This window comes from Homo sapiens, chromosome 15 (assembly GCF_000001405.40).
Source record: "Homo sapiens chromosome 15, GRCh38.p14 Primary Assembly".
NCBI classification, from domain to species: domain Eukaryota; kingdom Metazoa; phylum Chordata; class Mammalia; order Primates; family Hominidae; genus Homo; species Homo sapiens.
In genome coordinates, this window is record NC_000015.10 from 63,039,470 (window position 1) to 63,062,554 (window position 23,085).

The window sequence follows — 23,085 nt, forward strand, 5'->3', positions numbered from 1 at the left end:
TCTCAGTGGCCTAAAATAACAAAGATTTATATCTTATTCTCACTACATGTCCACCAAGGGTTAGTTGGGGGGAAAGAGGGAGCCACTTGAAAACCCACAATGACAGAGCAGCCACAGTCTTGAAAAATGAACATGGTTAGTCGTGAGCTCTTTAAGTATCCACCAGAAGTCATTTCTGCTCACGTTTCCTTGGCCAAAGCAAGTCAAATGGCCACAGCCAACTTAATTGGGTGGGATGTACAATGCTACCACGACATTGACTGGGGAGAAAACCTAAAAAATTGTGAATAACCTTAATCACTTTTACACGTGGCATTTCCAGCCCGACACTGCAATCCCTTTTTGTTTCAGCAGCCACGGCTAGTGATTCCCATTTTTCACGTTCCTTAATTCAAACTGCAATGAAAGAAGCTGAGTGGCCCAGTTCATCATTGCCTGACAAGCCACAACGCCAAGTCCCTGGTTAGTATTTAGATCCATCCTTGAGTTGTGGCCAATCAGCCAGAGAACAGGGATACACACTACATACAGCCTGTGACTGTCCAGCCTACCTCTGGAGAGGACCAGGAGACCTGTTCACTACAGAAGAATGTGTTATTTAAGTCATGACGTTTTGCTTGTCCTAGCTTTGTCTTAGCCCTTGGTGACAAAAAGGTCATGGGTGGTATAGCCCATGAAGCTGACTTGGGCCTGACACATGGCAGAATCTCAACATGGGTTAAAAGAAATGATTGAATTCAGGACCTGCTATGTTAACCCATCAGTCTAGAGATCAATGATGTGGTACTAAGGGATTTTAAAAGTTAGCGTTGTATAGCTCCATTTCCATACTTTGACACCATAGGCTTCGACCTCTGAATATAGGCCCTAGGTGAGGGAGTCTGGGAGAGGAAGAGGTGAAAAGAAGAGACATCGATGGCTTTAAACTACACAATAAGGTCTGAATGTCTGAATCTGGAATTCAAGGCCCTTTATCATACAGCCCCAAGCTTCCTTTCCAGTCTCATGCCCCCATTCACCCCCAAAATCCTACTGTCCAACCACCACCAAACATTCCTTTTTCTTTCCTTGGCGCATACAACGGCCCTCCTCTCTAGCTAACTGCTACCCTTCCTTTAAAATCAGTTTAAAAGCCATCACCTTTTCAGAGAATTTTTTCCCATCTGCTCTGACCTAGTCATTTCTATTTCTTCCTCGTGTGAATTCTTAACACCTTTCTCATGCCAAACACCTGGAGGACATAGACCTGTGCTACTCATTCTTTGGATTCCAGAGCCTAGTACCTGCCTAGTATATAGCAGGTACTCAACAACCGTGTGTTTAATAAATTGCTTGTAGCATGATTTCATTTAAGGAAACTTTAATGAGTCCCTCGGCTACATATGGCACAGTAAGAAAAGAAAAGTCAGTAACATGTGGTCCCGCAAGGAGTTTCTCTAGTTCAGTTGCCTCTTTTTATAAGTGAGAAAAAAGGCTTAGAGAGATTGTAACATGGCTAAGGTCACACTGCAAGGAAGTGACCAGGCCAGGTCTGGATCCCTGGAACTGACTCCTAACTCCCTATTCTTGCCTCCTCTGCTGAGCTCCAACCTGGGGAGTCAGCTCCCTGGAGTCCACGCATCTGGATATCGTCCACATGCCTGGAACTTTGTCACTGTTCCGGTGGCTGGGTTGACACACCGTGATTAAAGGGCTCTGGTCAATTTCTGTGCCACGCAGCCCCTATGCTAATGGTCAGATCTAATGTTCTGACCATTAGGTCAGTGTATCTTTTCCCTCCTGGGCAGTTAGGTTAGTGGAAGAAACCCGATAAAATCTTGGAGAGGAATTTGATCATTCTCTGAAGGACTTACAAGTTGTTTGGCCTGCCTAATCTGCTCAGATACCGTCCGGGGAATATTTGGTAACCATGCAGTACAGACTGTGAATTATTCTGTGGGGACTATTAACAAGACCCTCACCAACCCTGCCTCAGCTGATCTCAGGGCTTGGGGGCAGCCCCCTCTCCTCCCCTCCCACTGAAGCTCTGAAAAAAAGCAGCCTTTCCCCCTTGGGAGATGGGAGGAGTAGTTAAAAATAAGAAGTGTTGGGGGAAATCCTCCTCCTTCCAAGCACAGCTCACACGGCAGAGCCTCCTCAGAGTTGCGGCTGCGGATGCAATGACTTAGCCAGGTTAACGCCGATCCCATGTTTTCCGAAACCTGGCACCTAAGCATCTAACATGGAAGGCCGACTCCCTAAAATCAGTGCAAGAAAAATGATAACAAGTTATATCTGGAGGGACCTCGGGGATTATCTACCCGCTGGATTTAAAGTTGAGGAAGCCGCGGGCAGCAAACAAGGTCTCACAGTTGCTGGTGGCAGAGTAGAGACCACAGACCAAATTGCCTGAGTCTAAACTCAATGTTCTTTCCCCTTAGACTGCCACCCGCACACACACGCACACATGCACACCTTTTTGGAGGCACTGCACAGCAAGCACAGAAGTACGCCACTGAGTCCTGTGTCCCTAAAGTATTTGACTGTCCCTCCGCTGGGGGAAAGGGCAGGCAGAAAACAAGACTCCGTGTGCTGTCGCTGTGCCGCCCCCTGCCTCTCTGACCCGCGCCCGCAGAGAAAGTCTCAAGAGCCGCCCCAGGCTTTCTCCCACGTTCTCCCTTTCTCTGCTGCAGTTGAGTTTCCAGAGCGTGAGCGCGCAGGATGACACCTGGCTGGCTGAGAGCTGCCGGGGAGGCGCTGGCGGGTGCCGAGAGCGCACTGACCCTGACGCGGGGTGCAGCACGGCTGGGAAGCCCCCGGGCCTTTGGCTAAGCGCGCCGGGGGACGGCACAGGGGGGCGACGCGCATCCACCACCTGGTCCGCGCTCTCCCGGCCTCCGGCAGCTCAGGGCGGGCTCGGTTGGGGACCCTAATGGCTGGGTGCCGGCCCTGGGAGAAGGGCACGCGGAGGGCGGAGGGTTGCGCCTCGGCCCCGGCTCGGCCCCAACGCCCTCTCCCTGGCGCGCAGGTTTAGAAACAGGGCGGCCTCTCCGGCCGCCGCCTCGGCGGCTCGGGTCCCCATATATAGTCATATCCACCGTCAACTGGGAGGCCGGCGGCCGGCAGCGAATGGGCGAGCGGCCCCCGCGGGAGGAGCGGGGAGGGGGCACGGGGCGGAGGGAGGAGAGGAGGAAGGGGGGCAGGAGAAAAAAGCTTTTCCAAAAAAGTATTGGCTGTCTTGAGGAATGCGGTCGCCCCCTTGGGAAAGTACATATCTGGGAGAAGCAGGCGGCTCCGCGCTCGCACTCCCGCTCCTCCGCCCGACCGCGCGCTCGCCCCGCCGCTCCTGCTGCAGCCCCAGGGCCCCTCGCCGCCGCCACCATGGACGCCATCAAGAAGAAGATGCAGATGCTGAAGCTCGACAAGGAGAACGCCTTGGATCGAGCTGAGCAGGCGGAGGCCGACAAGAAGGCGGCGGAAGACAGGAGCAAGCAGGTCTGCGCCTCCCCGGCCCTGCGCCCGCGCCCAGAGCGCCGGGACTCGAGCCTGGCACCCCCGGCTGGATCCCCACCCCGAGGACTCGGGGAGCCACCACCCTACCCCCACCACCACCCAGGGCGGCCAGGGCGCGCGTCTGGAAAGAAGGAAGGGAAACGCAAGAGCCAGGCTTAGTCTAACTTAGTCTGGTCTGAGGACGCTTATTTCCCTTCTCTGGTTCCCATGGCCCGCGAAATCAAGTCCTAGAGGCGCTTTATTCTCAGGACTGGGAATCAGTTTGGGGGAGGGAGGAGGACACCCGGTTCCTGGGGACGTTTGAAGGAAGGGCGAGGGATGGAGAAAGGGGGTCGAGTAACTCAAGTGTTAGAAGTTCGTTGACTTTTGACTGGGGAGAAAGGAACCTTAAACTTGGGGAGGAGAAGGGAGTCCTGGAGTTGTTACCTAAGAACAAAGATGGGGCGGAATGGAGGCTACAGCCCGAAAGCCAGGCCAGCAGTGGCGTTCTTCTGTGTCCCCAAGTAGTGGACTTGAGCCCGCTGAGACCTCGGCAGGAGTCTCGTCCCAGGGCAGGTGGGTGTGCGGGGTGAGCCGCGGAGCGGTTCCAGCTCGGGTAAAGAGGAAGTTACCTCGGGTCCTTTGCACTCCAACTCGGCGGCGCCCCGAGCCCGAGGGGCCCCAGCCAACCCGACGCCCGTGTGTTGTGTGTGTCTAACACCCGGTCCGTGCCGGCCGCCCGCGCCCGCCCGCCGCTGCCCCCAGCTCGAGGAGGACATCGCGGCCAAGGAGAAGTTGCTGCGGGTGTCGGAGGACGAGCGGGACCGGGTGCTGGAGGAGCTGCACAAGGCGGAGGACAGCCTCCTGGCCGCCGAAGAGGCCGCCGCCAAGGTACCCGGGGCGCGCGGCACGGCGTGGCGCACGAATGGCTAACTCTTTCTCTTTCTCTCTCTCCCTCCCTGTCTTTCCCTCTGTCTCTCCCGCTGTCCCTGTCCTTCTGGTTCTGTGCACCCACACCCCTCCCCTTCGGGATCACGCTGCCTGCTGCACCCCCCTCCCTCCCTGTACCCCCTGGCCAACTCCCAGCTGGAAGATGAGCTGGTGTCACTGCAAAAGAAACTCAAGGGCACCGAAGATGAACTGGACAAATACTCTGAGGCTCTCAAAGATGCCCAGGAGAAGCTGGAGCTGGCAGAGAAAAAGGCCACCGATGTAAGTGCACGCTCACACTGCTTCCCTCACCTCTTGCCTGCGTGGCCACTCCGGGGTCACCACAGGGCTGGAGAGCAATGAAGGAAGTTTACCTTTTCCTGCTGGACACCTGCACACAGCCCTGCCATGGCCCAGAGCATTGGATGCCGCCTCTGACTGCTACTGCACACATTCATTTATATTTCATCCACTCCTCTCTTCTTCTCCTTTCCTTTACCTCCCTGGGGGTGGAGGTGGGTGGATGAGAGGCTGGGAGAATAGAGCAGCTGAAATTGGACTCTGGAGGTGAACTTCACCTCCCTGGTGGCAGAAAACCCTTGAGGTGTCATCACCAAGGTTTGTGTAGAGAATGCCAGGTTTTCTTCACTTTCTTTCCTTTTGCCGTTTCCAGTGGGTGGGAAGTTCTGGGTTTGGTGGTGGGTCTAGTCAGGGTTCAGAGAACCTGGCCTCTAAATGAAAGAAATGACACAGCGGTACCTTTACTTAGATGGCTGCACTTCATGGTGGGGCACAGAGACACTTTGAGGCTTCCTTTCTCATTAGTGTAAGCCTTAATCCACCCCTTAAGATCTGCCTGGGAAGATGATACTTGCTTGGGTCTGCAGTCTGAAGGCACTAGATCCAGAAAGTAAGCTGTGAGTTATATATAGCTCAGTGCTTTATATGGTATAGTGAGCTAGCTGCCCCCTGCCCCTCCTGCTGGCCCCGCCCCCACCTGTCAGCCTTCTGACAACCACCACATAGTTGCAGGGGTGATGCACACAGCTAAGGCTCTCCTAAGCTCTTTGTCCACTGCCCTTTGGAAGCTTTTTAATTGATAGCTTGCCTCTTCTGCCTCGGAAAGTCAAGCCAAAGGACCAACTTCTTTTCACACCGTTGGATTCCATTCTAAAAGCTAATTAAGCCTAGAGGCCCAATTAGAAAAGAATTCCTTGGGAAGTTGGTAACAATTCCAAGAATGTGTGAGCACCAGGGAAAGCTATGCCAGCAGTTGAAACACCGAGAGCAACAGCAGACTTTTTTATATGAAAGTAACATGCAAATAACTGAAGGGTCTCAGGTCTTGAAATTAGTGAAGTCTTTTGTAGCATGAAAGGCTTGAGATGTATATCCAGGTGTGCTTTGTAAATGAGAACTCCAGAGACGACATTTAGGATCTGACAAAAAGAAATTTTCAGTGAAAATCAAGCTTCCTGGAAAGGGGATTTGGGGGGAAGCACTGATTTCGCTAAAACATTTAAATTCTAAACTACCTGGCTTTGGAAAAAGAGCCAAAAACCATATATGACTCTGAGCCTACTTTGTATAATGCAGATCAGATGCCTGCTCTATATATGGCTAAATGGAAGATGCCTGCCTCCCGCAAATTCTCCAGCAGGACGTTTATTTAGCTTTTTCAAAAGAGCTGCTAATAGATCAAGGAAAGATATTCCTTATAAGGAAAAGAATGCAGAGAATTTGAAAATAGCCCAGTAAGACTGAAGGCAAAAGAGGGAGAAAAAGGTTACTACAATTCTTAAGGGAAAAAAATAGGATAATAATTATTGTAACTATGTAGTGCTAACATGTCTTTATTGAAAAGTCTTGTTGAAGGGAGCGCTGGAATGGGGTGGGGCAGAAATGGGAAAGAAGTTATTTAAAGTCAGCTGGTGTGGGAAGCAGCAGGGGAGGGAGCTTCTTGAATCTTGTTTTGGTTATTTTTCCCACCGGGAAACTGCCCCTAAATCTGGCATATATGGCTTTTTTGATAGTGTATTGATCACATTCCCTTTTAGGACACTTTAGGTTGTCTGGAGTTTGGAGCCCGTAGGAATATTGAAGAAGTTAGTGAAGAAATGCTATACAGTCATTTGTTGATTAATGAAGGGGGATAAGGTCTGAGACATGTGTCGTTAGGTGATTTATTCATTGTGCAAACACCATAGAGTGTATGGTACTTACACAAACCTAGAGGGTATAGCCTACTAAACACCTAGGCTACAAACTTGTACAGTGTGTTACTGTACTGAATACTGTCAACAATTGTAACACAAATCACCAGGCGATAGGAATTTTTTAGTTCTATTGTAATCTTATGAGGCTACTCTCATATATGCAGCCCCTCATTGACCAAAACATCATTATGCAGTGCATGACCATATTGAGAGTATTCGTTTTTTATTTACTAAAAAATAGTCAAAACTTGAGGAGGAAGAGACAGATGTCACTAGAAAAAGGGAGAAGTCCGGTAAGGGAGAAGTCAGCTTCCTGAGGTGGAATCGTATTACCTTTGGGATTAGGACATTTCATTGTCATTATTCACCAGTGTAAAACACTTTTACATTTTTCTACTATTATTACTAAAAACATTTTTCTACTACTTTACAAATCCTATTCTGGAAGTGGGCTCTACCTAGCTTAGAAGATTGTCATTCAGGAGTAGTATCCCTGATGGTCTTGTTTCGAATTTTGTGTTGTCTTTCCACCTAAGTCAAAAGTGAGGCTGAAGGGGATCGAAGACTCCATTTTTTTCTGGCCCCCAATCTCTTCCCCAGTAACTGTGATATATCTGATATTTATAGCATATGAGTCTTTATCCCTTTGTAGGTCTTTACTTCTTAACTTAGGGATTCTCAACCTTCTCTAAACATAATCACTTAGGGAGCTTTTAAAACCCAAAGTTAGGATGCACCCAAAGCCAGTTAAATCAGAATCCCTGGGGATGCAACCCAGGCGGCAGCATTTAAAAAATACCCAAGTGATTCCAACCTACAGACAAGGATGAGAAAACTCTCCTAAACTCTTGTATAATGACATCGGCATGAAAATGAACTCACCTGAAACTGACCTTCCCAGGACATTAAGTCACTAGTTGGCTGCTTATGGCACTTGCCAGTGTCCAGCAGTTTCCTGGCTGCTCCTGGAGGTTGCCAGACACCCGGTTCCCCCATTCTCAATGTTGGAGGCCCACAGTCTCTGCACTTAGGGGACCAGCTGTAACCTCCCCACCTGACCAGATGAACCGCGGGGAAACAAAGCGAGAAGCTCCCACCTACAGGATGCAAGGACCCAAGCTGGGATTTGTGAGAGTCTCAGCAGAGGCTGTGAGGAACTCCACAGAAAATGAGGCAGGAAAGCAAAAGTTCCTTGTTAGGGCTTGGAGGAGGAGAGGGTTGTCAAGCATGTTTTCTTTATTATTCCCACACATAAGGGAGCTGGCTTTAAGAGCTTTCTGTGACAAACCTGAGGAGAAAAAGCCCTGAGACTTAGAAGGCATTTAAGAATACAGCTCAAGGGGGAAATCGGTGGAGACTGTATCTGCGGTGGTTTTCTCCACCTGTAGCCAGAGGCTCTCTCATAGGGTTCTGTGGCTTTCCTTGGGGTGCCTTTTAAAGGCATCCCAGTCCAGCCCAGGACTGACTGGATTCCAGGAGATCTCAGAGGCTGGTCTGACACCAAAGAAGGCTGTAAAGAGAAGAGACCATTTGGATGACTGTTTTCATGGAAAGTGAGCCCCAGGGAGGCTGGCCTGAGATTACACAGCTGATTATGGGCCTCAGCCTGACTCTTAAAACAATGCTTGTGTATTTCTTAATCGTAGCTATCATTTGAGTTTTTAACTATGTACAAGGTATTGTGCTAAGCGCTTTACAGTCCTTCATAATTCTCATAGCAGCCCCATGGGGAAAGTACTATTATTATTCCCACTTTTACAGATGACGCCCAGAGAAGACAGGTAATGTGTCCGAAGTCACGCAGCAGGAAACTAGGAGCCAGAGTCAACCTAGGAAAACTGCATTTAGAACAGGAGGTCTAACCACTGTGCTCTACACGCGGGTGGTTTTCACTTCGTGAAGTTTTGGGGAATGGGGGTAGTGCTTGGGTTATAATCTTGCGGTTGGGATCAGGCCCTTTAGGGCATATTCCGGCTCCAGACCCGCCGCTCAGCTTCTCTGGCTCCCGGGCATGGGAATCTGGACTCGGGAGCGGAGCGCTCCCGCGGCCAGCAGGAGTCGCTATTGCCCTTAGCAGCCAGCTCCGTTACCCCGGGTCACCACCGCGCCGCGGAGGGGCCCTAGAAGTGGAAGCCAGAGCCCTAGTGCAGTGGCCTCCCGGAGCGCCCAGCTCACCAGGTACCCCCGCAGCGCGCCGGGAGCGCCTTTCTCCCCGCCGCCGCGAGCATGCGCAGTGCCCCCAGCCAGTCCCGGGATCCACGGCGCGCGCCCCTCCCAGCCGCGCGCGCCCGCCTGCGGTTTGTCTGCGCAGCCCTGGAGGCTGCGACTTCCGGACTGCTCCTGGCCGCAGGGGGCGCCGCCATCGCACAGAGAGGCCTGGGCGGGGCGGACCGGCGCTGGGCAGCCAGGACAGCCGCGGCAGCCGGGTCCGCAGGGCAGCAGCCGGCCTCTCCCACTGCAGCCCTCCCGCCCGCCTACCGTCCGGCGCGATGGCGGGGAGTAGCTCGCTGGAGGCGGTGCGCAGGAAGATCCGGAGCCTGCAGGAGCAGGCGGACGCCGCTGAGGAGCGCGCGGGCACCCTGCAGCGCGAGCTGGACCACGAGAGGAAGCTGAGGGAGACCGTAAGGGATACACCCATCACCCCGCAGCCCCCAGAGGCGCATCCTCCCGGGGCAGCCCCGCAGGGCCCTCCTGCTTCCCCCCCCGCAGGCCCCGGTCCCTCGTCCCCACGCCTCCAGGGCGCACCTGGCGCACCTGGGCCAGCTGGCGGCGGGCTCTGGGGAGGGGCCCGGCCTGTTCTCCTGAGCCTTTGTTTTCCATCTCGCTGATCCAAAGTAAACGCTCCCAGGGGAAACGGGTGGTGTTGAGAAGGTTCTGGAAGGAGCATTTTCCCAGGAAGGGTCTGTTTCTGGGGTGGTGGCTTTCAGTCGTGTCTGTGCGTCCCCGGGAGGTGCACTTTGCGCTGCTGGCTTGCTTTACTCTGAGAGTGGAGAGGGAGGAGGTCCTTCCTCTTGGAGATCCGTACTTTGAGAAGGGGCGCCGACAGGTCAAGTGGGAGAGGCACTGTGGACTTGGGGCCCGGGGATGCTACACTCCGCCGTTCCCGTCGACCCTGTGGTTTCCCGGCGGCCTGTGTCTCCGAGGCGGTAGACAGACATTGACAGCTTGACAGCGCCGCGTTCTGCTGGAAGAGCTAAACTATAGTGCAAAACCCTTAACCCGTCCCTTTTTTCAGCAGTCCTCCTCCCCTTTTCTCTCATACAGATAGATAATGCTTTGTTACCAAGTCTTGGAAAAAGTTGGCGAAATGTCAACAGTTATTGGGTGTATTCTCTTGCGGGCTTCCCCTCCCCCTTGTTAAATGTAATACCTGGCTTCCTTCCTTTCTTCTAAGGCAAATGTATCCAGCAAACACGAACAGGATTTCAGAGGTAGTCTAGTATTGGATATTTGTCGATTTTGTGTGTGTGTGTTTTTAATGAAGATACTGAAACAAACACCTTGGGAGTTTTATGACAATTGATAGTATGATGTCCTGCTGTGCTTAATATACGGGGTTGTTCTGAGTTGAGTAAATCGTTCTAGTTAAGTGTTTGTAAATGGCTGTATGGCTGGCCACAGAAACTTCAAGACCTGAAATGGTCCTCTTCAGAGGAAAGCTCAACTAGAGAAAGTTTCAGATAAAATACAAGCAGGAATAAGGAAATTAATAGGCAAAAGATAATTCTCAGTATTTGCTTTATAGGACGAGTCAGCAAAAGTCCTGTGGATATCCCTGAACTTGGCTGGGTGGTAAACTAATTCCGACTCCCTTACTCGCTAGTAGCTGTCCTTGAACCATTAGAACTATATAGAATATGATGGATAAAAACAAGAACTTTGGACCCAGACTGTCAGAACTTGAATCCTGTCTCCACTACTTACTAGCAGTGGGCAAGTTACTTAATCTCTGTGTTTCAGTTCCCTGTGTGTAAAGTGTGGATAGTAACAGCATCTACCTGTCGGTTAAAGGAGTTACTATGTAAAGACAGTACACTGATGCTTGGCGCAAAAGGGTAAGTGCTGTGTGCCCGCTGTCATTAAAACTGCACAGCCCTGGCAGCCCAGTGCTCCTTCACCTTCAGTTCCCCACCCAGCAAGAGGTCTTAAAGATGGCCTGCTCATTTCATGACATCATAAAACACTTCATTTACTGCTTTTAATCAACATTTGTTGGGGCGGGGGGCTTGAATGAAGAGGAAGTGGGCGGGCTGGTAGGCATGTTTGATGGGTTAAAGTGGTATCAGTGGTAGAAGTCTGAGGTCTCCTCACCCTGCTAAGAAAGAGTATGTGTGACCCTATGCAGGAGAGCCTTGTATTGGCTCCTGGCCTAGTGATTGATGTTAGACACAAAAGATAAATTTTATGAAGGGCACATTATTACTTTTATTCTTACCTTCTCTTTTGCACGTCGTTTTTATAACAGAACTCTTCCTGTGCCAGTTGGCTAAAGATAGTACTTTCGTTCTTTTCACGGCTTTATATCAAAAGTAGTTTAAGTAGTTTCAATTTTTTTAAGTAATCTTTGCAAACAATCTACCTGGGTGATTGATTGAACACAGAACCTTTTAAGACAGCAACTTGAAGACTGGATCAGACCATTGAAGAGAGACTTTCAGGCTGCAAGTTGTTCCTAACTTCTGAAATTGGAACTTAAATGTAGCTGACTTAGGTATTTAGATGTAGCTTGGGCTGTGAGTTAAGCTAGCAGTAACAGTTTCTTTTGGCAGCAAAGATAAAGGTTTAGTGACAAAACCATGAGCCACTGCAAAAAATATTTGACCAGAGAGTTGGCCTAAATTCAAATACTCAGACTGTAATTAATAGGCCCTATTAAACCAGCCCTTACCTTGGAAAAAGCAGCCATCCCTTACTTCCTCCTAGTCTGTGTTTCCAAGGTGTGTGGATCCTTCAAAATGTTGGAATGAGGCTACTTTGCTTGACATGATTGATTCCAGATCTTGTGACCCACTAGGGTTATGTTTGCTTTTTTTCATTATTTAAAGAAAAAGGCAGGATGAATCTTCCTTTCTGAGTAGTATCCAGCAAACAAGGAGACAGGGAGTTGTGGCCAGAAGGTTCTTAATTAGTAACATGATTAAATCATGGGAAATAACCAATTTACAAAAATTCCCAGCACTTTCCCTCTTTACACTTGGTAAGTATTTCCGGGATAGGAAAACCGAGGGTGCATTTTGTGCTTGCATTGGCACTCCCAGAGTGGCTGTTAACTGGAATGTATACTCTCGATTTCCGCTTTCATATGTAGGCAAGGCAGAGGCACTACAATGCCTTGTTCATGTCTGTTCTCCCTCATTATACAAATATGCTTCATAAATTATGGGCTTTGGCACACACAGGAGGTTGTGTTTATCTGTTATCCATGGGAGTGCCCCTTAATGTCATCAGTGTTTTTTTTTTTCCCCCCTTTCCTTACCATATAAGGGCAGAAGTTTAGCTTGGCTGTGGTCACTTGGCCTTACACAGCAAGTTGGGTGAAACCTTCTTCGTATAACTACAGTTTGCATGAAATAAAAAGACCTGACCTTTGATCATCCCAAGTTCCACTCCAGTTCAGTCAGGACTTTGGAAACATATTCCAGAGGATTGATTTCTAGATTATAATATTCTCCCACCAGTATTTTTTCTTAATAACCTTAACTGGAATACTTTTTTAAAAAGTAAAAGTCACTGCCATTTTTAATTTTCTGTTGTTGTATTGGCTAAAACATCTGGATTTCATGAAAATCTAGGCCTCATAAAAGTTGTTTTTTTTTTTTTTTTTCAAATCTGATTTGGGATAATATTATACTATGGTGGGGTGGGCATGCCCTTGATTTCTATATAGTACCATGTTGGGGTGGGGGAATGGGGTGCATGCCCTTAGAGGAGGGTCATATGCATTGTAAGGCACCTCAAGTACAGAGCACCAGGAAGTTACTTAAAAACATCTGCAGGAGGACATTGGTAGCCTTTACTAATACAGCAGTCTCTTTTTTGAGTAGTTCATTGTTAGAACACAATAGCACTTTTGAAATAAAAGAAACTAGCATCCCAGATTGAAAGACTTCACTGGCAGTCAGCACATGGGCTGCTGTTAGAAGAAAGCTAACTTGGCTGGGTGCAGTGGCTCATGCCTGTAATCCCAACACTTTGGGCGGCCGAGACGGGTGGATCACCTGAGGTCAGCAGTTCGAGACTAGCCTAGCCAACATGGCAAAATCCCATCTCTACTAAAAATACAGCAATTAGCCGAGCATGGTGTCACGTGCCTGTAATCCTAGCTACTGGGGAGGCTGAGGCAGGAGAATCGCTTGAACCCGGGAGGTGGAGGTTGCAGTGAGCCGAGGTCATGCCACTGCACTCCAGCCTGGGAGACAGAGCTAGACTCCATCTCAAAGAAAAAAGAAGAAGAAGAAGAAAGCTAACTCAGTACACTAAGAGTGATTTACATGCCTGCAAATAATTTGTGTCTGGGGTCTTGACCCTCCCCAAATGCCTTGTTATTTATATCTCTGCTTTTAGATAACAGATGGTCATGTGTCTATGGGCTTGTACCGGCAGAGGCAACAGCAGGTCCTTAAGACTCCCCAGGTGCCATGATGAAAAGAACCTTAGAAAATATTGAAATAAGCTCAAAACTTAAAAAAAAAAATACCAGAAATAAAAGCTAGTAAAGGTGAGAGGTGTGGGGCTTTTGGAACATAGAGCATAATAAATCAGAATAAAAAGTAAAAATAAGAAAGAGAAAAAAGTGGCCCTGATTAAATTATAAAATTAAGCATATCTTGAATTCTAACGAGCCAAACAAAAATTCTACTAGGCCAGTATAATAGGGCCTGCAGAGCCTGTCATGGGTTCAGGGTTTTCCCATAAAGATAGGTGTACCTCAGATACTACTCCTAGGTCCTGGCTTTAACCTCAAAGCCCCTCTGCCTGTCCTGCTCTGAAACCTCTGGGGCAGTAGGCATTGACTTCTGGGCTAGGGAGTAAATGTTCCGTGTCCTTATGTGAGCTTCCTATTACCCATTAGCATTGTTTTATGAAGTTTTCAATTTTATATCCTGCCTCATTTCAAAAAGATTGTGATAATCACTTTAGCAGATGATTTGCATTGCAGCAACTGTTCTCCCAGTCCTGGTTAGGATCTGTGCCTGAGGCCTTTTGTGGGGAGTTGGGGTGGGGGCCGGAGAACATCTCAATCTGATCTCAGGAGAGATAAAGACACAGGAGTGAGAACTGCCAGTTCCAAGGTTTCCGTGATGTTCCGGGAAGCCAGGAGAAGTGACATAGTGGAGAGCCGGCATGCTGGGAGCCTAGTGACTTGGATCTTAATCCTGTCTCACACTGATGGCTGTATGGCCTCCACATACTTCTGTGCCCAGGGTCAGAGTTCCCTCCTGCCGCCTGTTTCTAGTCAAGAGCTAGAAGAATAGCCAGCTTCTTTGGGTGGTGGCAAAGGGGATTGTTTATTTATAGTACAGATTCCTGCCCTCCCCCTTTGACCTCCTGAATCAGAATCTCTAGGGACACGGCCTGGAAGTTTGATTTTTTTTTTTTTTTTTTTGTTTTTGAGACAAGAGTCTTGCTCTGTCGCCCAGGCTGGAGTGCAGTGGCATGATCTCGGCTCACTGCAGTCTCTGCCTCCCGGGTTCAAGCAATTCTCCTGCCTCAGCCTCCTGAGTAGCTGGGATTACAGGCATGTGCCACCATGCCTGGCTAATTTTTGTGTTTTTTGTAGAGACGGGGTTTCACCATGTTGGTCAGGCTGGTCTCGAACTCCTGACCTCATGATTGCCCGCCTCGGCCTCCCAAAGTGCTGGGATTACAGGCGTGAGCCACAGCGCCCAGCTGAAAGTTTTTTTTTTAATGCTCATCTCTGAGTTGATTCTGACACTCAGCCACTTGTGGGAATTGCTGATCTGGACAATGCCTAGGGATCCTTCTAGCTAAAAAATTGAGACCCTATTTTTTGGATTTACAGGGCCTCCTCAGGAAGGGGCAGCCACTCTCAGGTCTGCTGTGTGTGCCCTACCATTCCTCCCACTATATCACAAACTGGCACCTAGAAACTGGTCTCCATGCCCAGTCGTTGCTGGGGCACCCTGTATGAAGCCCTGCTGGCTGGTATTCCTGTAGGACATATTCTCTGATGTCCAGGAGTCTGAGGTTCTACAGAATGCCCCTGGGGAAACAAGAGTGGCATTTAGACAACAGCATTCTGTAAACACAGTGCCAAGAGCTAAGGGAAAGAATGGGGGTGGGGGTGATCGGAGGGAAGACACGGATGGATTGGTAGGGGCCCTTTGGGTAGGAAGATCTCATGTGCAAGGCTGGAATGAACATGAGGTGCTGTTTCCTTCCTTTCTGGTGACTCGGCTGTGTGGGGAGCTGGGGATAGAGACCTGTCACCCAGAGGGTTCTTTCCCCAAAGCATAAACAGTCGTCTTTCTGTGAGTACAAAGTCCTTGAGGTTCAGGCCCAGATCTAAAGCAGAGCAGAGAACTTGGAACTTGGTAGCTACAAAAAAGTTTTGAAAATCTTGCTGGCATTTCTCTAATAGGCCATAGCCTCTGTAACAAGGATATTTGCCATCATATTGAAAATGATAAGAAAGGGGGAAAGAAAAGAAAGTGTACAGTGCTTTTGAGTACATAACCTAGACACTCTATGGAGGCTTTTTGTTGTTGTAGGGCTTTTGGTTTGTGTGCTTGGTTTTTTTGTGTGGCTTTAAATTTTGTTTTGTTTTGTTTGCCCTTTGTTTTTGCTTCCGCTTTGAGTCTCCCCCCCACCCTCAAAAGGAATAGAATTTTACTGGAAAATGAAAATATAGAAAAGTGAAGAAATCTTACCTGACCCAAAAGTATATCCTTAATATATACATCCTTCCAGTAATAGTAATAAAAAAAAAAAGCCTAATGGTTTTTAAAAGACACTTCCCTATAATTGAGAGATTTGTTATCCTATTACCCTCACCCTTCAATACACACACACACCAGAAACAACAGTCATCTGCCAGTAATTCCTAGCTGGGTCCATTTACCAGCTGTGCACTGATAATGATTTACTTTGTAGGCAGTACAGTTGTAAATGCTCTTCCTCTGATTTATTTCACATTTGCCCTGCTCCCTGCCTCCATCAACCAATTACTACATTTTTGTCAAGATAAAAGTGTATTTACATGTTTTTATAGAGTCCTTCACCGTGGTTGGAGATGCCCTACTCACCTCTCTTCCCAGATAAAACTTGGCATTTAAAATCTTACAAATCTAGGTGAGCAAAGAGCTGAAGGTTCTCAGATTCCTTTGATTAAAGACTATGACCACAGTTTCTAACTACATTTGCATTTCCAACTCTGTATTGTGGATCCATAAGCTGAGAACGTTGCTTTTATTAAAATTAGGTTGGTTTTACTCATCTTACTGAGCCCATACTCTGTGCAGAGAACTGTGAGTTCTCTGGATGTGAGCAGCTTACAGTTCAATGACAAAGACAGGGCTGTGTGTAGAGAAATTTGTTATCCTATTACCATGGGTCCCTAAGTGTGTATTGTAATTTCTAGAAAACTCCTAAGTGTTCTGAAAACCCCACCACCCCTTAGTGAACATACATTCAAAGTGGATGAGGATATTTTACCTGATTAGTAAATTCCATCTCCCACTTCCATGCACAATATTTAAACAGCCACCAGTGCAAGTGTGTATAATGGACCATCATAGTCTTATAAGTGTTCTGAGGCTCATAGCAACAATTTCTTATGACAGGAAAAAAATCATTGCCTCTCAAAGAAACCAACATTTTATTTCAGTGACAGATACCAAGTAAAAACAGTACTTGTATTATTTTTCTTTTTAGGAGTTTGATACTTTTCTTGTATTAACCTTGACTTCAAAGAAAAATCATAGGCTTACATCAAAAACACTTGGGAAATTTGTCTTGGCTCTGTTCCAATGAGGCCAGTTATTCTAAAAGGGGTTACTGGATTGTGTTGGGCCTTCATGTGGTGTGTATTTTAGAACCACTGAATTTTAAACTATTTAAGTTCCTTTGTAAGGATCCTATGATAAAGTGGCTTGAAGGAAAGAGTTGAGTGAAACTCTTGAGTCCGATTTCTGGCTGTACTGCTATTGTCTTACATGGCTGAGCCTGGGTAAGTCTTGTCTCAGTTCACACTTCAGGCCCCCAGTGAGTGAGGTGGCCGTGATGACGCTCTTGTTTAACAGGCAAGTAAAGCCAGGGTGTTGAACTCTACGGAAGTGGGCCGGGCGCAGTGGCTCACGCCTGTAATCCCAGCACTTTGAGAGGCCAAGGCAGGTGGATAAGGAGGTCAGGAGATTGAGACCATCCTGGCTAACACGGTGAAACCCCGTCTCTACTAAAAATACAAAAAAATTAGCCGGGCGTTGTGGCGGGCGCCTGTAGTCCCAACTACTCGGGAGGCTGAGGCAGGAGAATGGCGTGAATCCAGGAGGCGGAGTTTGCAGTGAGCTGAGATCGTGCCACTGCACCCCAGCCTGGGTGATAGAGCGAGACCCTGTCTCAAAAACAAAACAAAACAAAACAAAAAAATCTACGGAAGAAAGGAACCATGTGAAAGAGCGTTTGCTAATGATCTGTCTGTCTGATGAGAATTGTGTGTATAGATTTGTGTATACACAAATATGGATGTTCACTGTATAAATCAATGTGTAAATGTGTCCGAGAACTCCAGAGTTGATGAGGGCTTGTAATGCACTTAAAGGTAGCTCACCACAAGACAGTCTTCCTATCTGAAATCAGCATTGCAGTCCCAGCCATTTCCTGAAGCTACCACCCTCACTTTCTCCCCAACTCTGAAATGCTTTTCACTCTCTACCTAGGCTGAAGCCGACGTAGCTTCTCTGAACAGACGCATCCAGCTGGTTGAGGAAGAGTTGGATCGTGCCCAGGAGCGTCTGGCAACAGCTTTGCAGAAGCTGGAGGAAGCTGAGAAGGCAGCAGATGAGAGTGAGAGGTGAGAATGCCTCATCAGCCATCTTTTGCAGCTGCCTTTCCTGGTGGAATAAACCGGAGGGCTCCTGTGATCTTTGAGGTTTAAGAATTTTTCAGTCCCCTGGTGGTGGGATCATTTCCTCTATTGATCCCAGGTATAACTCGGTTGGTTTTGTTCATTTAGCATTAGTGAAACACCTACTATGTCCAAAGCACTGTCCTAAGCCCTAAGGTTACAAAGAAGAAGATGATCTTGTTCCTGCCCTTACAGAACTCACCATCTAATGAGGGAGACAGACATGTAAAGGAGAAATGTCAGGGATACAAGTTGGCCCTTTCACTCCTACTGACCACAGAGCAATTGTGCATTTTTTAAAGTGTAACTTTATTTTATAATATACAAGGAGGCTTAGGTGTAAATAAAGGAACTGTGGACTATCAGTTGTCAAAATAGCTTAACAAATAGGTGGAAGAAAAAACACAAAGCAGAAACATGGTCTGCAAAAGTAAAATATTTTGGACTTGGTCTTAGTAATATACACAACACACATGCACACAAATAGTCAGATGCTCGTGTGTTCTGAGCCCACCTCCACTGTAATCTGGCTGTAGCTGAATTATTACTCAGATTCAGCTTTGTGGTAGTAAAGGAAAGCATGGTTCGTATAGACCAGCACAGCCTTGTGTGGTCTAAAAGGCATTTTCCCTTAAGCTCAACTGTTGGAAGTAAGGATTTGCCATATTGCATAGAAGTACTTCAAGAGAGACTCCATGAGGTGAGAGAGCGTTCTGCCGCTTGAGGGATGGCATAGCATGAAGGGGCTCAGAGCACTGAATGTGTATCTGTCTGTGCTGTGACCTGGGCAAGTGAATGCAGTCAGTCATCTTGTCCATTTCTTACTCTTTGAAGTGACCCTACCACTAGGTACCAGGTATAAAGAGTGATTTCAGACTTTAGGATTAAAGAAGATTTTTAGCTAAACTTTTTAGGCCATTATTCACCGCTGCTTAGTGTTTCTTCGCTAACCAAGCATTTTGGACTTCTTTAAGATGACTAAGCATCTTACAGTGTACGCATAAGAGCAGTTTTGTGGCTGACTTCTTTCTGAAATATACTTGTTAGTGTACCTTAAAGGCAGTCTGGTAATGTTAGACTTCGGAGTAAAGGGGACTTGGGGATCATTTAGTCCCTTAGTTTTACAAATGAGAAAAGTAGGGCTCAGAGGCTGATGTGACTTGCACCAAGGCTCACAGCATATTTGTGGCTAAGCCAAGACTCCGACCCAGATCTCCTCAACTGTATTCCAATGCTTCATCAAAAGATAGTGGGCCAGATGTGGTGGCTCACACCTGTAATCCCAGCACTTTAGGGGGCCGAGGCGGGCAGATCACTTGAGGCCAGGGATTCGAGACCAGCCTGGCTAACGTGGCATAACCCCTAAATCTACTAAAAAATAGAAAACTTAGCCAGGCGTGGTGGTGCACACCTGTAATCCCAGCTACTCGGGAGGCTGAGGCAGAAGAATCGCTTGAACCCAGTAGGTGGAGGTTGCAGTGAGCCAAGATCACACCACCGCACTCCAACCTGGGTGACAGAGCGAGACTCTGTCTCAAAAAATAAAAATAAAAAAATAGTGGTTCACTTATACTGCCTACTTAAATTTTGATAAATGAATTCCATTTTACATGACTTGTTATTCCATATATCTGTAAAATATCATAGGTCATTTAGTATTTTTCTGAAACATTACACCACGCTATAGGACCCTAATATACACCATGCCATAGGACCCTAATACACTCAGTGTAGAGGACAGTGTCAGGCCTGTCTCCCAGCATTGCTGTCATGAAAGGGTTCCATTATAGGTAAAACTTAATTTGATGCATTCAGTTGAACCATAAGAAATTGCCATTATTACTTGTCTGAAATGGTCAAATATCAGCATTCTTTGTGGACTTAATAGTTTATTAAATCTAACATTAAGTCTAATATTTTTGTTTATGGGTGGCAGGGTAAGAAGATTCTTTGTAGAAAGAGGTATATAAAGATAAGTTTGATTTTGTTCTAGCTTTGGTTCATGTGCAAGCTGAGGCTTCCCACAGGAAAGGCAAGAAATCTCATTATCTTTTTAATAGTAAAGCATATTGGCTTTTCCGGTTTCATACTGCCAAGATTCAGACAGATTCCTGACGTGGTACCTTTCGTCATCATTAATGTTAGATGCCTGATAGTTTCATCAGTACTCAAAGTGAGAGAGTTCATTCACAGTGAACAGAGAGAAATGTGTCTCTTTTTTCCACCTTTAGCTCTGGAAATTGTTGTTTCCTGGTTTGGAAAATAAAAGTAGCTCTGTGCTCTATTTTGGTCTACCACTTACACTAAGCCTCACAAGCCACAGCAGTGCAGTGTGCATTTGGGAAGTTCAGCTCTAAATCTTGGGTTTTCTTGCTTGTCTTTCTTTTCAGAGGCATGAAAGTCATTGAGAGTCGAGCCCAAAAAGATGAAGAAAAAATGGAAATTCAGGAGATCCAACTGAAAGAGGCCAAGCACATTGCTGAAGATGCCGACCGCAAATATGAAGAGGTCAGATCCTGGGGCCCAAAGCCTTGTGGACACCCAGCAGTGGCCTTCAGGAAGCCAGGGAGCAATGTACAGTCTTGATTCCCGAGTGAGGCCATCTGCTTTGTTGGCAGAAATGGGTGGTTTTGAGAAGCAGAGTTCCTTTGTGTCCAGAAAACGGTTCTAATTTTAATCCTGCTAGGGGATCCCAGGCTTTATCAGGAAGCCAATCAGTAGCACTGCGAAGAAGGACCAAAACTCCTCTCCCCCAGCCACAAAGACCCGGACAAAAGATCTTTGGCCGGAAGGGAGAGTTGGGCCCTGTGTCTTGTGAAAGGAGGCTCTCATGCTGTCATGGTGCAAGTCATTTCTTCCCAGAGTGACCTGGCACATCCAGATTGGGCAGCTTAGAGACCACAGACAGTTTCTCAGTGGATTCACAGAGGCCTCTCTCCTCAAGGGTGGTAGAAAACTATTATCAACGCAGGTTTTCAGCAGAATTTGCTCCTGGTCGTGTCCCCATGAAAACAGCCTCCTGTGATAAGAGGCAACTTGATTATTAAGGTTTCTGTTTTTTCCTTATTGGATCACATCGTGGCTATCCTGAAACAGCATTGCCCCTCCTTTTTATTACCATTATTACCTTCAGATTACACTATGCTCACAAGTTTTGATCTGCTTCAGAGGCTCCCTTCCTCTCTCTGGTTCTTCCACTAAATACAAATTTGATTTTGTCAGTTATCTCACCAACTTGTCTCACGTTAGTGTCTCTTGTATTCTTCCACTGCAGTAAGGAGGTAGATGCACAGATCAGCCATCAAATTGATGGAGTTCTTAGGTTTACTTTGTTTTCCTGGCAGCCCCCACCTTTTTAGTACATGTCTCATCCTACTGCTGTTTTTGAGATTGTGAATGTGTATTTTATCCCTCCTTCCACATTTTGGTCTGGCTGCCGGTTCACCTAGGTCAGACTTCCAATTGAGACTGCCCAATCACAGCTAACCATTCTGAGTCAAAGCAGAAGCCTCTGATCTCCTCTCTGCTGGCACTCCTAATAGAGAGTTGCTTCTCTCTGGTCTACCAGAAAGAGGATCATATTGTTTGTAGACAAAACCCTTAGGGCCTGATGGGATCTGATCTCTACCCCCATGCCCTTCTGTTACACAAAGCTTGCAAGACCCATGGTGTGTGTGTTGTGTCTTCCTGCTGCAGGTGGCCCGTAAGCTGGTCATCATTGAGAGCGACCTGGAACGTGCAGAGGAGCGGGCTGAGCTCTCAGAAGGGTAAGCGGGCCCGGCGCCAGGAGGCCACGAATGGGGTGCTGCAGAGCAGTGACTAAACAGCATGACCTTCTGGCAGCTGCACATTACCTGTTTCAGCTCCGGGCTCCTTTTGTGCTCATTTGATGTGGATGAGCCACGAGTATGGAACATGGAGGACTCGTGTGGGGTGTCTTATGTATGAATGCGTGTATCACTGCATGCCTTACCTGCACACTGATTTTGTGAATGGCCTTGTGCATTTCCTGTGTCCACTAACAGCCAAGTCCGACAGCTGGAAGAACAATTAAGAATAATGGATCAGACCTTGAAAGCATTAATGGCTGCAGAGGATAAGGTACTGATGGCTCGTGTGGTTTTTAGGTTTAACTGCAACCCAGACATCTTTCAGCTTCCAATGCCTCCTGGTTCGTTTGGTATAACGACTGCACCTTCACTTCACCCTCTGCTATTTATATCTTGCCTTAAGTGCTTTCCCTTGGTCCTTTATGCTCCTTTGTTTTCCCTTCATAAATGCTCTTTGGGCAGCCAAAAAAGGAGCCAAATTATCGCACTTCAAAGTTGTTGGATTTGGTCACCCTGCCTTCTGCTGTTGCGAGGTTGGGGGGCAGTGTTCCTGGAAAACCTAAACATTTTAATACCTGATGATTTGGCTACTTTAAGGCAGCCCTTCGTCTCTAGGACTCAGTTTTCATTTTTTCCCATCCCTCTCCTTTTTCTCTCCTCCTTCCTTTGGCTTGTCTCCCACCCTTTCTGCCTCTGATCGAAAACATTAGCAAATGTGCCGAGCTTGAAGAAGAATTGAAAACTGTGACGAACAACTTGAAGTCACTGGAGGCTCAGGCTGAGAAGGTAGGCCAGGAGGATGGTGTGGGGGAAAGGCATCTTTTAAGAGCTGCTCAAAAGAGGCCCTGCCAGAAAGCAACACTTACAGTAGACATTTTAGTAAAATGGCAATATTGTGAGGTGATTTTTGGAGAGTTACTAGATAACAAATTCTTTTTTTTAACTAGAGAATTTATTTTATGTTAGGGATATGAGGCATCAATTTAATTTAAACCAAGTGCCAAGTGGATAAGTTATCTTGTTGTTATCCCATGTAAAACAATAGGCAAGAAAGCAGAGAATGTATTGCAGTGTGCCATTTGATATCAGAGGTTCCATTACCTCCTAAGAGATCCTTAACATCTGTTGGCTGAGCTGGCGAGTTCTTTGCATGAGAAGCCATGAGTAGATTGAGCTGCAGCCTGACATCTGGAATGCTCTTTCTAATTACAGTACTCGCAGAAGGAAGACAGATATGAGGAAGAGATCAAGGTCCTTTCCGACAAGCTGAAGGAGGTAATATGAGAGTTGTGGATGAAGCCAACTGGATTTTAAATGAGTTTGTTTTCATGGAACCGGTCAGGGCCTTTTCATTTTAAAGTTCCAATGATCCAAGTCAGGAATATTCAAAGGTCGCCTTGGAGTTTATGTACTGTGCTAACTGCCATTTCTCACAGAGGTGACTGAAACTGACAAGTAGTTTCTGATCCATTTTATAGGTGATGTGCTTCATTTTCATCCTCTAGTTTTCCCTATGTTTGTAGCTACAGGAAACATAAAACTTCCCAACTTT

The 23,085-nt window shown here is 47.2% G+C and overlaps 1 protein-coding gene and 1 long non-coding RNA gene across 59 annotated transcripts in view, besides 4 other annotated features; one reads left to right on the forward strand and one right to left on the reverse strand.

The window, feature by feature from the left end:
• Positions 2,222-3,136: an enhancer, noted in NCBI's record as "H3K27ac hESC enhancer chr15:63333890-63334804 (GRCh37/hg19 assembly coordinates)". NCBI's record gives its function as "activates a minimal SCP1, AML or CMV promoter by ChIP-STARR-seq in primed H9 embryonic stem cells {active_cell/tissue: H9 hESC(primed)}" and the evidence as "EXISTENCE:reporter gene assay evidence [ECO:0000049][PMID:30033119]".
• The window catches only part of TPM1 (tropomyosin 1), a 29,169-nt gene continuing 9,361 nt past the window's right edge, over positions 3,278-23,085 (forward strand). For 8 of the 58 annotated variants that reach the window (NM_001407326.1, NM_001407337.1, NM_001018006.2 and 5 more), the window contains exons 1-7: positions 3,278-3,474; positions 4,558-4,683; positions 17,516-17,649; positions 20,094-20,211; positions 21,400-21,470; positions 21,729-21,804; positions 22,746-22,808. In NM_001407326.1, the coding sequence (NP_001394255.1) occupies positions 3,361-3,474; positions 4,558-4,683; positions 17,516-17,649; positions 20,094-20,211; positions 21,400-21,470; positions 21,729-21,804; positions 22,746-22,808 (702 nt within the window). In that variant the 5' untranslated portion in view covers positions 3,278-3,360. Of the gene's footprint in view, positions 3,475-4,236; positions 4,363-4,524; positions 4,684-9,019; positions 9,239-10,577; positions 10,673-17,515; positions 17,650-20,093; positions 20,212-21,399; positions 21,471-21,728; positions 21,805-22,243; positions 22,320-22,745; positions 22,809-23,085 lie in introns of those variants that run through there. The other 50 variants (NR_176346.1, NR_176343.1, NR_176338.1 and 47 more) reach the window with 14 other exon arrangements.
• Positions 4,050-4,963: an enhancer, noted in NCBI's record as "H3K27ac hESC enhancer chr15:63335718-63336631 (GRCh37/hg19 assembly coordinates)". NCBI's record gives its function as "activates a minimal SCP1, AML or CMV promoter by ChIP-STARR-seq in naive and primed H9 embryonic stem cells {active_cell/tissue: H9 hESC(naive and primed)}" and the evidence as "EXISTENCE:reporter gene assay evidence [ECO:0000049][PMID:30033119]".
• Positions 6,565-9,918, reverse strand: TPM1-AS (TPM1 antisense RNA). The gene is made up of 2 exons (NR_147233.2): positions 9,372-9,918; positions 6,565-9,226 (listed from the first exon to the last, which is right to left on the reverse strand). It is a non-coding gene; the product is annotated as a TPM1 antisense RNA (long non-coding RNA).
• Positions 8,415-8,584: an enhancer, noted in NCBI's record as "active region_9524". NCBI's record gives its function as "activates an Ori minimal core promoter by ATAC-STARR-seq in GM12878 lymphoblastoid cells {active_cell/tissue: GM12878}" and the evidence as "EXISTENCE:reporter gene assay evidence [ECO:0000049][PMID:35858748]".
• Positions 8,725-9,384: a silencer, noted in NCBI's record as "silent region_6507". NCBI's record gives its function as "represses an Ori minimal core promoter by ATAC-STARR-seq in GM12878 lymphoblastoid cells {active_cell/tissue: GM12878}" and the evidence as "EXISTENCE:reporter gene assay evidence [ECO:0000049][PMID:35858748]".